Here is a 13095-nt window from a genome sequence, read left to right as displayed (position 1 = left end):
AAAAGTTTTTTTTTAGATTTTAGCATTGTTATTAGAGATGGGGGTCTGGCTTGGTTGCCCAGGCTGGTCTCAAACTTATGGCCTCAAAGGATCCTCCCCCGTCTCAGCCCCCTGAGTTGTTGGGAGCCATGCCTGGCTTCAAGAGTTCTTTTTCTATTTTGGATGAAGTCCTGTGTCAGACATCTTTTGCAAATATTTTCTCCCAGTCTGTGGCTTGTCATTTCATTCTCTTGACAGTGTCATTTGCAGAGCATTAAGTTTTAAATTTTAATAAAGTCCAGCTTGTCAATTTATTGTTTCATGGATCATGGCTTTGTTATTATGCTATATCTAAAAAGCCATTACCAAGGGAATGTAAATTAGCCACCAATTAACCACTAGGGAAAACAGTTTGGAGGTTCCTCAAAAAACTAAAAAGAGAGCTACCATATTATCCAACAGTCCCACTGCTGGGTATATACCCAAAAGAAAGGAAGTCAGTATATCAAAGAGGTATCTGCACTCCCATGTTTGTTGCAGCAGTGTTCACAATAGCCAAGATTTGGAAGCAACCCAAGGGTCCATCAACAGACCAATGGATAAGAAAGTATATACACATTCACACAATGGAGCACTATTTGGCCATAAAAAGAATGAGATCCTCTCATTTGCAACAATATAGATGGAACTGGAGATCATTATGTTATAAAGTGAAATAAACCAAATACAGAAAGAGAAACTTCACATGTTCTCACTTCTTTGTGGAAAATTAAAACAATCAAATTCATGGAGATACAGAGTAGAAGGATCGTTACCAGAGGCTGGGAAGGGTAAGTGGAGGTTTGGGGAGGAGGCAAGGATGGTTAATGGGTACAAAAATACAGTTAGAAAGATGAAATATGCCCTTTGATTTGACAGTACAACAGGGTGACTATAGTCAATAAATTGTACATTAAAAATTACTAAAAGAGTATAATTGGATTGTTTGTAAAAAAGCATAGAAACCCTGTCTCTACTAAAAATACAGACATTGCATGTCTGTATCAAAACATCTCATGTGCCCCATAAATACCTATTATGTACCCACAGATATTAACAATTAAATGAGTGAAAAAAATTTATAAGCTATCATCGTACCTAAGGTAACCTACATTTTCTCCTATGATATATTCCAGGACATTTCTAGTTTGCATTTTACTTTTAGGTCTATGATCCCTTTGAATAATTTTTTTTTTTTTTTTGAGACAGAATCTCACCCTGTCACCCAGGCTGGAGTGCAGTGGCGTGATCTTGTCTCACCTCCGCCTCCCAGGTTCAAGCAATTCTCCTGCCTCAGCCTCCCGAGTAGCTGGGATCACAGGTGCTCGCCATCATGCCCAGCTAATTTTGTATTTTTAGTAGAGACAGGGTTTCACCATGTTGGCCAGGCTGGTCTCGAACTCCTGACCTCAAGTGATCCACCTGCCTTGGCTTCCCAAAGTGCTGGGATTACAGGCATGAGCCACCGCGCCCAGCTCCTTTTCATTAATTTCTGTTTAGGGTGTAGGGTCTGTTTGATTTCTTTTGCACATGCGGACATCTAGTTGTCCCAGCACCATTGTGGGACCATTTTCTGCATTGTGGTGCCTTTGAATCTTCTCAGAAGATGAGTTGACTATATTTATATGGGTCTATTTCTGGGTCCCCTAATCTGTTCTATTATTTGTCTCTCCTTTTACCAATAACACACTGGTTTGGTAACTGCAGCTTTGTAGTAAGTCTTCTAGTCAGGTAGCGTCAGTCCTCCAACTCTGCTCCTCTCCTTCAGTATTGAATTGATTATTCTGGGTCTTTTGCCTCTCCATAAAAACTTTAGGATCATCTGTTAATATCCACAAAATAACTTGCAGGGATTTTGATTGAAATTGCATTGAATCTATAGATCAAGCTGGAAGGAACAAACATGTTGAAAATACTGAGTCTTCTTATCCATAAACATGGAATTTTTCTCCATTTATTTGGTTCTTCTTTTGTTCATCAGGGTTTTGTAGTTTTTCTCATATATATAGAAAGAGTACACTTTTTTTAGACTTGTACCTAAGTATTTTATTGTTTGGGGGTGCTAAAGTAGAAGTACTTTGTTTTTAACTTCAAATCCACTCATCCATTGTTGGTATATAGGAAAGTGATTAACTTTTGTATATTTTGAAATCTTGAATAGTTGTTCATTATTCTAGGGGATTTTCTTGATCCCTTTTTACACTTTCTACCTGGAAAATGTCATTTGTGAACAAAGAGAGTTTGTTTCTTCTTTCAGTATCATTAAACTTTAACTTCCTTTTCTTGCCTTGTTCCATCTGTTAGAGCTTAAAGTGCTGAAAGGAGATGGTGAGAGCGGATGTATGGGCCTTGGTCGTGATTTTAGTGGGAAAGTTTCTACATTCTTACTACTGTATATCATGTTAGTTTTGAGGTCCAGTGGACAAGGAATGGTCAAGTGACACAAAAGGCCTCACCTGATATTGCAAGGACTTGCTGACAGTGAGAGGTCAGGGACAGGGGAGACCCCACCCACACTGTGAAGTCCTGAGAACAGCGAGGGGTCAGGGACAGAGGAGACCCCACTCACACTGTGAGGTCCTGAGGACAGGGTGCAGCCTCTTCCAGGCTTGATGGGGGTCTGCACGGTGGCTGCAGGCATGGTGAGCCCTTGCTGCCGGCTCCCAGCACTGACAGGAGGGGGGGCCATGGTGTCCGCATGCCTTGGGCTAGGCTTGAGGGCCAACACTGGCCTCCTTGGGGTGTCCAGACAGGCTGGGAGCACTCACTCACCTGTGGCCTTAGTGGAAGGACCCCAGAGGGGACAGGGCAAGGTCTCCTTCTGCAGGCTGCTAAGTATAAACCAAATAAGAAAAAGCAGAAAACAATTTCCCAGATCAAACAAAAAATAACATCAGAGTGCTGGGTGCAGTGGCTCACGCCTGTAATCTCAGCACTGTGGGAGGCTGAGGCGGGCGGATCACTTGAGGTCGAGAGGTTGAGACCAGGCTGACCAACATGGAGAAACCCCATCTCTACTAAAAATACAAAGTTAGCCAGGTGTGGTGGCGCATGCCTGTAATCCCAGCTACTCGGGAGGCTGAGGCAGGAGAATCGCTTGAACCTGGGAGGCGGAGGTTGTGGTGAGCTGAGATCATGCCATTGCACTCCAGCCTGGGCAACAAGAGTGAAACTCCCTCTCAAAAAAAAAAAAAAAAAAAAAAAATCAGAGCTCCCTGGGCTGTGGCTTTCTAGAGAGGCTGCTTCCCAGTTTTCCTGCCAGGCACCTGCACTGGCTCTGGCGACTGGCATTGCAGCCCCTAGTCCAGCTGGAGCCTCAGAGCAGGACCTCCTGTGGAACTGGGGTCTTAGCAGACATTCTCAGTGAGTGACATCAAGACCAGGCCATCCTGGATTAGGTTGGGCCCTGGACCTGTGGCAGGCGGCCGTGCAGGGTCCTCCCCAGAACCTTTGGAGGGAGCACGCCCAGGATATCTCAACGTGGGGCTTCTGGCTGCAAAGCTGCGAGGGCCCCTGTGTGTGAGGCTCACTGAGCAGCCCTGGGAAGGCAGCACCACTGGGCATTGGGTGCACCAGCGTGGAGGCCCCACAGGCTGGGCCGTGGCACCATCCTGGGACTCGCCTCCCATGTGCCCGCACCCTTCCTTGCAGCCCTGCACGGGGCATCTGAAAGCAGCATGGCAAAGGGGCACCACCCGCAATGTGACGCGCAGTCCCGCCAGAGGCCATGCTCACCTACCCCAGGGCCTCTGAGGGAGTGGCCACTGACCCAGACACAAGGCACCAGGTGGAAACACTGGCACCCATCTTCAAAAACCACTCTGAAGCCAGCATTTCCCTTTATTTCTGGATGGAAACGGGGCCCTAAAAGCAGAAATCAATATTTTTGTTTGAAAGATGCAGTCATGCTAATTTCACTTTTGGCTAAAACCGAGACGATAAAAGAACAGTTGGGTGTTTATAGGATGCCCTCAAAGTGAGCTGGCTAAGTGAGCTGGGCTCTAACTTCACTCACAAATTTATAGTACAGCTAAGAAGGCCAGTCTGTCCATGAAAGGGAGCCGAGACAAGACGAGGGCGGCCTCTTCCAGGCCTGTGCCAAGTGTCCTTGGGGTCCCGCCATGGTCCACACTTCTGCAGCATCCGCAGAACATGTGGCCGGGTCCTGCCCAGCAGCAGGGACAGCCAAGTGGGAGGCAGGCATGGTGCACACCTGGGGAGGCCCCTGGTGCAGAAGCAGCCCCACAGTAGCAGCCCCATCCAGAGGAAGACCACTCCGGAGGGCCACAGGCCTCTGCAGCCCTGGCACTGCCGCCCAGCCCTCCATCTCAGCGGGATGTGCAGGGTGAGACAGGAATGCAGGGACGTTCTGCCCCTAGGTCAGCCTCTTCATCCGCCTGTTGTGCTTGTCGATGGTCAAGGTTGCCCTGTCCACAGCTGCTGCAACGCCATCCAGGGCTTCGTCTTGTCTCTCCAGCTCACTCTCGGCCTCCAGGGCCAGCCCCTTCATCCTCCTCAGGATCTGGGGAGAAGCACAAGATCACAGCAGAGGCTGCCATCTCTGCAAACTCTAGCACAGACAACATCTCCCCCTCTCACACACCCAAGAGCCTTTGCGTTACCACCTGGGTGATGCCATCTGCGAGCCAGCAGGAGGGAGCCGGCAGCCCAGCACCAGGGTCAGGTCATGGCTCTGCCTCTGCCAGTACAGGCCTGATGAGATGAGGTGCCTGCCCCACCTCCTGCCAGCTGCCTGCCCGCACCTCCTGCCTGGTGCAGTGGCCACACCCTGGCCTGCCATCTCCAGGCTGCGGAGTGCTCTGTTTGGCTGACCTTGTGGGAGCGTTGCATGTGGGTGTGGAATTCCTGCCCACAGTGGGGCAGCTGGGGACCTGGGCACGCAGCTCGGATTTGAGTCCCAGCTCTCACCCAGCCACTATGCTGGGTGAGACCTGTCTGCATGTGGGTCCCTAACTGCAGACTGGAGTGGGAAAGCAGGATTAAAAAGAAACACAAACCCCTTCTCTTGTCTCTAAGTGTGAGATGTTTCATGCACAATGCAAATGACAGAATGAAACTCTCCATACGGTGGAGGGCAGCCAGCACCGTGGGGGTGTGGGAGATGGTCCCCGGCCCAGCAGATGCAGAAGGTGGAGGCACGCAGGGCCAGGCAGGTGTGGATAGGGAAGGCTGGATGGGGTGGGCCGCCCCAGGAATGCTAGCACAGAGATGTGTCCCCTGGTTGCAGCAGGGGCGATGAGCTAAGGGCTGAGCTGGTGCTGTGTCTGTGGCTTAATGAGCTGTGTTCTATGAGGAATCTAGGAAGGTGAACCACACTGTGAAGCGCTGCTTTACACACTCAGCCTAGGTCTAGAAGCCTCATATGCCCACCTGACAATGGAGAAGAATACACTGGAAAGGAAACTTGAGTGACCCACCACTTGCAATAAATGTCCATGTCCTCTTTCAGGGAAAGTTCTGGATCACTGCTTAGGTCAGGAGAAGGAACCCTCAGTGCTGTGTACCCACCAGTTGGACAGCAGTGACCATCCAAGGTCTAGGGCGTGGTGATCTTGAGGGGGGCCCCTACAGCTCCTCTGGTTGCCTCTAGGAACAGCACTCCTGAGCCCTGGGGGAGCAGCCTCCCCACGCTCCGCCCAGTGACATGGCGGGAGGCTCAGCATCCTGTGGGGTTGGGCAGCCAGGGCAGGTGATTCAGTGCTCCCCAGCAGGGTGGCCAGCAGTGGGACACATGCAGCTTGGGATTCAGGGTCACAAGCAATGCCCCCGCCTATGGTCCGGCCTTCATCTGACCCATGAGAAACAGTATGAAGGCGGCCAGGACAGAGGGCCAGCTGGTCAGATCCAGCTCCCTCCACTGAACGGTGTGGCTCACATGAGATCACAAATGCGAACAAGCTGTGAAAACCGGAATGGGCCCAGCCAGGGTGGCTGCCATGCTGCAGAAGGAGCCCTTCCCCGGCCAGCTGCCCAGCCCCTCTGCAGATGGCACAGGGAGTTGGGGGCTGAGGTCACTCACAGGCACACGGCAGAGGTGAAATGAGCCACATGTCCCTTTCCAAACCTGGCCTTCCTGCTGAGATATTTGTCATAAGACAGATGAATAAATGCCTGACTAGAGCCCCAGTCCCAGACAGCAGGGCTTCTACACCCTCGGGAGCTGGCAGAAACTCCATCTGTTGAGTCATGACTTAGATCGCTGGATGGGGCTCTGGAAAGTATATGGTGGGGTCAGTGGCTCCAGGAGGACGGGCAGATGACCTCACACAGGAGGTCTTTTCCACCGCCTGGCCCATGATCTCACGTGGCCCACACCCAAATTGTGCTGTGACAGGGAAGAAAGCCTCAGCCCACCCCTTGCTGGCTCTGCTAACCTGCTCCCTTCTCACCTGCCCCTGCTGTCAGTGTGATCCTGAGGGCATTGCTGGAACCAGCAGGCACAGCCCTTGGAAGGGATGGCTGGGCTGCACACTCACACTGTCCCTGTGCCCACATCCTGTGAGGAGGCCTCCTGGAAGCCAGGGACATGGATCCGCTCGGGATCTGGTCTCAGTCCCTATGTCCCTCGTCAACCATACTAAAATGTGATTTAAGTGTATTTAGAATTTAAATGTCCTTCAGGGCCACAGGGCTCCCATGAGCTGACGGCTGGGGAGATGGCCCAAGGCCCCTGCCAGGACCCACAGCTCCAATGCCTCCCACTAGCCCCTGCATCAGCTCTGCCCTCTCCATGACCATGGCGTGCAGTGCTATCAGGAGACACCACTATTTGTCTTTTCTGTTAATAACTGCATGTAGAAAACCAGGAAACATGAGAGAAGTTAAGGAATAAAACAAAATCTGCCCATAATACAGACCACTGTTAGGCTGGCACCATCAGTGACACAAGCACACTCCTATCTGGCTTTTTCCCCCGTCGCTATGTCCATACACTCTTGCGAATAACTCAAATTTGGGATTAAAGTACATACACAACTTTGTCTTCTGTTTTTACCATCCTATAGCTATCCTGAATGAAAGCTGAGTTATTGGATATGCAATGTAAGCTGACATTGTTCTAAGAACGTGGCACATTTTATCTGTTTCACAGAGAGGGTGACCTGCCCCCGGTCCTGAGGATACACTCATTGCACATAGAGATGCTGTGGGGCATGACCCAGACCACATCCCGGGTCACCGCCAGAAGTCCTATACCCCTTACAGATGGTGGCAGGGCCCTGGGACATCCAAGGGAGGCTGGGCCAGGACCTGCTCTGGCTCTCTGACTGGAGTGTCTTTGGCAGGATGACACTAAGAGTAGCTGAATAAGCTGTATTAAATCTGTCTAACCCTGACCCAGATGTTCAAAGGTAAAAATGATAGGGAAAACAAATAAAATACTGTACTGAACCCAATAGACATAGAGTACCATTTGACATACATCAATGCCAATAATTATTAAACATACATCATATTCTTCTTTTATATACAGTCCTAGCAAGCCGCCATGAAGGTTACACTACCTACGGCAAGGCCCAGCAGAGACCCGCAACAACTCAGGGATCAGGAGCCACATGGAGATCAGGACCACAGGGAGGCATGAAGCCCGTCCACCTGGGGCCACCTCCACACAGACCCCAACAGCCCCACACTCCCGTTCACTATCTTCCCCACAAGACGCCTGTCCCCCAGGGTCATCTCCAACAGACCCAGGCAGCCCGGCACCCCTGTGCGCCACCTTCCCTGCAAGGCTGAGTGGTGCGTGCCCAAGATACTGGCCGTGCTAGTGACCCTGGTTGTGATGTGATCACTTTATGTTTCATGTATGGAAAACTTCACTACGTAACCCATGAGTATGTACAATTATTCTCAACCTAAAAATATTGTCTATGACATCTCCCCAGAATATAAAGAAGAAAATAAAATAACTTTTTTTTTTAAAAAAGACATCAAATTCATGCCTTTTTCTAGTGCATAAGAAAGCAGTGGGAATAGCAAAAATTTCTATAGTTTAGGGTTTTGCCTATTAAGCACAGTAATAATATGCACAATTTATTTGTGACTAAGACCAGCTGATCTGCCTATAGAAGCGGAATATTTTATTGTGTACACAGACAAAATAAAGGCTGGCTCCTGCTGTACTTTTTGATTTGAAAATGTCTCACTACGTTGAAGGCCTTAAAAGAGAACTCATTCCAAATAGCCTGTTGAGACCCTTGGCCTGCCTGCCAAAATTGCACTTGAAGTTAATTAATAGTGCAAAAACACAAGAGCGATCTGTACAGCTGCTAGGTCTGCAGACAAAGAACATTCCTGAGCGAACCTTCAAACTGCTAGTGTCCTGGAGTGCAGGTCCAGATTCTTTTTCCTTTGAGAAGGGACTGAAGTAATTACATGGCATCGTGTGCATTCCACATAACAGGGATGGAAAGAATGGAGAATGTGAAGTCTGGCCAAACCCTAGAAACAGTTGTTCCTCTGCGGCCTGGGGTGACAAGCCATCTAGCCATTGTGCAGGATGCTGTCAGCTCCGAGGCAGCCAGTGGCCTCACACAGGAACCTTCATGGGCTCTGAGTCAGAGGCGAGGCGCAAATCAGACTTCCTTGAGTCCCTGCTACATGAGTAAAGAAATCCAGGAACCAGCCTTCCTTCCAGCCAGTTCGACCTCCACAGAAACTACCTGATTAAAAGTGCTTTGGGTTTTGGGGGAAACAAACTTTTATAAACTTCAAAGAAATAGAGCAAGGAGTGCTTGAAGGACAGTACAATCCAGGCTGGCCCTGGGGCATGCCTGCGAGCCAGACCTGATAGAAGTGTTCCTAAGAGAAGCTGCAGCTTAGAGCATCAGTGGATGCCTGGCCAGACCCATGGCCAGACTCTGTGGTCCTGAGCGGCTTGTGGGACCCGCTGAGGGCGTCAGAGCCAGGAAGGGGAGCAGCCCTGGGTGACTCAGGCAGGCAGCAAGAGGCACAACCTGAACAAAGAAACGCAACTGATGCGTGGCTGACACTGCCAGCTTATGGCCATGGTCCCCCAGGATAGCACCAAAGCCACTTTCCTCCAACACATCCGTGAGGAGGATGCCCTGGGCGCTGTGGGCCTGGCCGGCTCCCTCATGCCCTGAGCAAAGGCTGTTCTGGAAGAAAAGCTTCCGCTTGCTGCCCTGCTAGGAAAGTCTCTGTCTCCACAAAGCTCCTGCAGACTCGGAGCAAAGCATCACCAACACTGTCTGGGTTGACAGCGACATAGGCCGGAAGCCCTGCAGAGCAAAAACAAGAGAATTTAGCATTCTCACCATTTCCATTTTGTTTATAAAGGCAAAAAATAAATATAGAAAAATAGCCTAATGAAGTAGGGTGGGCCCACCTACAAAGCAGCTGTGTGTCCATGCGCGCACCATTAGGGCAAGGCTGAGTGCTGGGGGCCTGAAGACGTCCCAGCCTTGTGCGTTCGCTGCCACCAGCAGCCCGGGAAGACAGTGCTCCAGAGGCACGCACGGCCTTGGCCTCCAAACTCTGCGGGACATCGGCTCTTGTGTCCCATGGGACATGTCTGCTCTGGCTCGCCTCGCGACGCCGGAGTGCGGCACATCACCGTACCAAGCCAAGCACCGAGAGCAGTCTGCTGTTAGCTGGGCTGCCCTGGCCGTGTCATTAAGCTGACTCACTGAGGAACTGTGAATTTTCTTGCAGTGAGAAATTAGCAACCATTTAAGAACAGAGCTGGGATAAATCAAGCTGTCTACAACTCAAAATAGTTCTACCAGTTGGGGCCATTAATATGCTGCAGAGAATGTAAAGGGGGAAAATTGGCTCTCACCGCAGCCAAGCTCTGGAGGCCGTAAAGAACACTCTCTGCTGCGATCTGTCACACTCGGCACTCGCAGACCACCCTGCGGCCCGCCCAAGTCCCCTCCGCTGCATTCCTGGAGGCCAAGGTGGTCTGTGCACTAGCCGGGGGGGCAGATGCAGGGCCCCCCTCCTCAGGACGCCCCCGCGGCGGTGGGTCGAGGCAATGAGCACGGCGGCCTCGCTGCTCAGAGGGGACTTTGATTCAGCCGGGCCAGCTGAGCTCACTCCAGGCGTGCACAGGAAACGCCATGCAGAGCAAGGAGCTGGGCCTGGACTGGATTGTCCTGCCCAAGAGCGCTCCCTGCTCCTAGACCAGGGATGGAGATTCCCATTAAGAGACCCGAGTGCTTGAGGGACGATGAACCCTCACTAAAGTGTTCAGTGAATGTGAACTGAGTGCCACTGAAGGTGCATCGCACACGTGGAAGAACCTCAGTGGTACCCTCAAAATAGGAAACAAACTGAAAATGCACTAAAATGTGGCTCTTTCAAGAGGTTGGCCACAGCCCCACAAAACCCACTTCCCAGCCTGAACCAACACGGCCAGAGCTGTGGCCAATGAGTCTGCTCCCAACTTGCCAGGCACCTCATGCTCTGCCCTGCGCGCTGCGGCCCGGTCCCCCTTGCCTCTCACCTACACCTCGAGGCGGGACACTGCTGTGCATGGAGGGGACAGGAACAGGGCCCAACACTCAGGGCTGTGACACACAGCTCAGCAGCAGCCACAGTGCTGACCCCTGCCATTGAGGGCCACTCTGCAGCCTCACTCTCCCGGTGGGTGACACCTGGCCCAGTGAACCTACCTCCGGCATTGCTCTTTCATCCTTCAACACATGGTGTCAACAGCTGCACAAACCCACTTCCCAGCCTGAACCAAGACTGCGTAATACCTGCTGACCACATTTAAAGGCTAGCAAACGTGTCAAAATGAACAGAACAGCTAAGCAGAGGATCCATACAGAAACAGGAACAGGCAGCCTGCACAGCACTATAAACCCATGGCCCAGGAGACCAGTGCAGAGAGCTCCACCTACAACCGCAGGAGCCCATTCTCCTCTGTACCAGATGCCTCCATGGGCCACAGGCTGGGAGATGGGCCACGGACTGGGAGGCAGCCCTCAACAAGCCTAGAGAGATGGATCCACAGCAGGTGTCTCCTCCAACCACAGCAGAGGGAAGCTAGCAACACGGCAAACTGAAGTGTTTACAAATTAAACAACCAACAGGTGATGGAAGGGAAATTAGTAAATTATTTGAGATGAATGAAAACAAAATCATGATATACTAAAATAGTCATGTGCTGCCTAATGATGTGGATGCATCCTGAGGAACCATGGCTCGGGGTCTCATCGTGGGACAACGCTAGAGTACACATACACACACTGAGGGGGCAGGGCCTGTGGTGGCCGGCTGTGTAGCGGGGCACACCCCCCCAAGCTGCAGGCCTGCATGGCACACCACAGCACCAAGCAGCACAAGTAGCTGGAGCACCACGCTAACTACCTGCACATCTAAACGTGGAGAAGGTGCCGTAAATGTGCAGCATAAAGATACGAAATGGCACGCAGTGTAGAGCGCTTCCCGTGAGCAGGGCTGGCAGGACTGGACGCGGCCCTGGGTGTGTGGTGAGTGAGCGTGAAGGCTTAGGCATGACTGAACACTACTGTGGACTTTATCAACACTGCGCACTAAGGCTCCACTAAATTTATTTTAAAAAGTCTTTCTTCAATAACAGGTGAGCCTTAGCTTCCTGTAACTTTTGTATATTACAAACTACGATTTTCTTTAACTCTGACTCTTCTGTAATAAAATTTCAAACACAAACACTATATAGCCGTGCCAGAATAATTTTTCTTTATATTCTTATCCTATATGCTGTTTTCTCTTTTTAACTTATTTTATTTTTTACTTTTGAAACTTTTTTTTGGCCAGGCACAGTGGCTCATGCCCATAATCTCAGCACTTTGGGAGGCTGAGAAGGGAAGGCTGCTTGAGCCCAGGAGTTCAAGACCAGCCTGGGCAACATAGGGAGACTCCATGTCTACAAAAAAAAAAAAAAAAAAAAAAAATTAGCTGGACGTGGTGGTGCACACCTATAGTCCCAATTACTTGGGAGGCTGAGGTGGGAGAATCACCTGAGCCTGGGAGGCGGAGATTGCAGTGAACCGAGATCATGCCACTGCACTCCAGCCTGGGAGACAGAGTGAGACCCTGTCTCAAAATAAAAAATACAAAAAACCTTATGACAAAGCTACAGTAATCAAAACAGTGACATTAGACTGCAAAATGGAATTAAGTGAGAAACCAGAGATAAACTCATATTATCTATGGCTAACGGATTTTCAACAAGGGTGTCAAGACCATTCAATGGGGAAAGAACAGCTGGTTTACCAGATGGTGTTGGGAAAACTCGATCTGGACACACAGAAGAATAAATCTGGGTCCTCACCTCACTCCGCACACAAACATTAACTCAGAATGGGCTCACAACCTAAAGAGGAAACCAAAACCACAGAACTCCTAAGAAAACATGGGGGTAAAGCTTTATGATCTAGGGGTCTTAGAGCATTTCCCTTGATAATAAGAGGACCACTGTGTACCCCAAAGACTTGAGAGCAGGGCCTCAAACAGATGCTCACGTGAACGCTTACAGCGGCATTCTCCATAGCAGCCCAAAGGAGGAAACAGCTCGTACATCCACCAACAGAGGGGTTTTCAGTGCATGGGCCCTGAAAACCGTATGCCAAGTGAAATAAGGCAGGCACAAAAGGACAAGGGCTGCGTGACTCCCCTGCTGTAAGGAACCCAGAGTGGCAGGCTGGCAGAGAGGGAAGGCAGAGTGGTGGGCGGGGGGCTGGGGCAGAAACGTGGGTTCGTGTCTCACAGAAACTGTTTCTGTGCAGGATGATGGTGGTGAATTTCATTAACTCCACTGAATTGTACACTTAAAAATGGTTAAAATGGCAAAATTTGTGTTTTATATATTTCACCACAATTTTTAAAAAGTGAATAATGAGAAACTCCCCACTGCTATAACACGTATTACCTTCCACAGCCAGGGCCTCCATGACACCCAGCACTTGCCCCGCACACTTGGCCTTCATTAAAGCGACAACTGGGAGGACAGGAAAGGCTTGGGGTGGGGTGAGTCCTCCAAGCCTGAAGTCCCACTCAGCACTCGGTCAAGCACTCGGTCTCTGCTTGACCTGTTCAGCTGGTGCAGCC

At 50.4% G+C, this 13095-nt stretch overlaps 1 protein-coding gene across 14 annotated transcripts in view, besides 3 other annotated features; it reads right to left on the bottom strand.

Annotated features, from left to right (window-relative positions):
* Nucleotides 1-3840: 3840 nt before the first annotated feature.
* Nucleotides 3841-13095, bottom strand: part of SNAP47 (synaptosome associated protein 47) — a 53059-nt gene continuing 43804 nt past the window's right edge. For 12 of the 14 annotated variants that reach the window (NR_136654.2, NR_136655.2, NR_136656.2 and 9 more), the window contains one exon: nucleotides 3841-4540. Coding sequence is in view for 10 of the 14 variants with exons in the window: in NM_001323933.2 (NP_001310862.1) it covers nucleotides 4394-4540 (147 nt within the window). In the remaining 4 variants the exon portion in view is untranslated. Of the gene's footprint in view, nucleotides 4541-8096; nucleotides 9279-13095 lie in introns of those variants that run through there. The other 2 variants (NR_136657.2, NM_001323935.1) reach the window with 1 other exon arrangement.
* Nucleotides 6178-6960: an enhancer, noted in NCBI's record as "H3K4me1 hESC enhancer chr1:227965808-227966590 (GRCh37/hg19 assembly coordinates)". NCBI's record gives its function as "activates a minimal SCP1, AML or CMV promoter by ChIP-STARR-seq in naive H9 embryonic stem cells {active_cell/tissue: H9 hESC(naive)}" and the evidence as "EXISTENCE:reporter gene assay evidence [ECO:0000049][PMID:30033119]".
* Nucleotides 8273-8473: a silencer, noted in NCBI's record as "peak747 fragment used in MPRA reporter construct". NCBI's record gives its function as "represses an SCP1 promoter by STARR-seq MPRAs in K562 erythroleukemia cells {active_cell/tissue: K562}" and the evidence as "EXISTENCE:reporter gene assay evidence [ECO:0000049][PMID:32103011]".
* Nucleotides 10185-11002: an enhancer, noted in NCBI's record as "H3K4me1 hESC enhancer chr1:227961766-227962583 (GRCh37/hg19 assembly coordinates)". NCBI's record gives its function as "activates a minimal SCP1, AML or CMV promoter by ChIP-STARR-seq in primed H9 embryonic stem cells {active_cell/tissue: H9 hESC(primed)}" and the evidence as "EXISTENCE:reporter gene assay evidence [ECO:0000049][PMID:30033119]".

This window comes from Homo sapiens, chromosome 1 (genome assembly GCF_000001405.40).
Source record: "Homo sapiens chromosome 1, GRCh38.p14 Primary Assembly".
Taxonomy (NCBI): Eukaryota; Metazoa; Chordata; class Mammalia; order Primates; family Hominidae; genus Homo; species Homo sapiens.
Note: the sequence above shows the minus strand (reverse complement) of the source record. Positions and strands in the feature narration are given on the sequence as shown.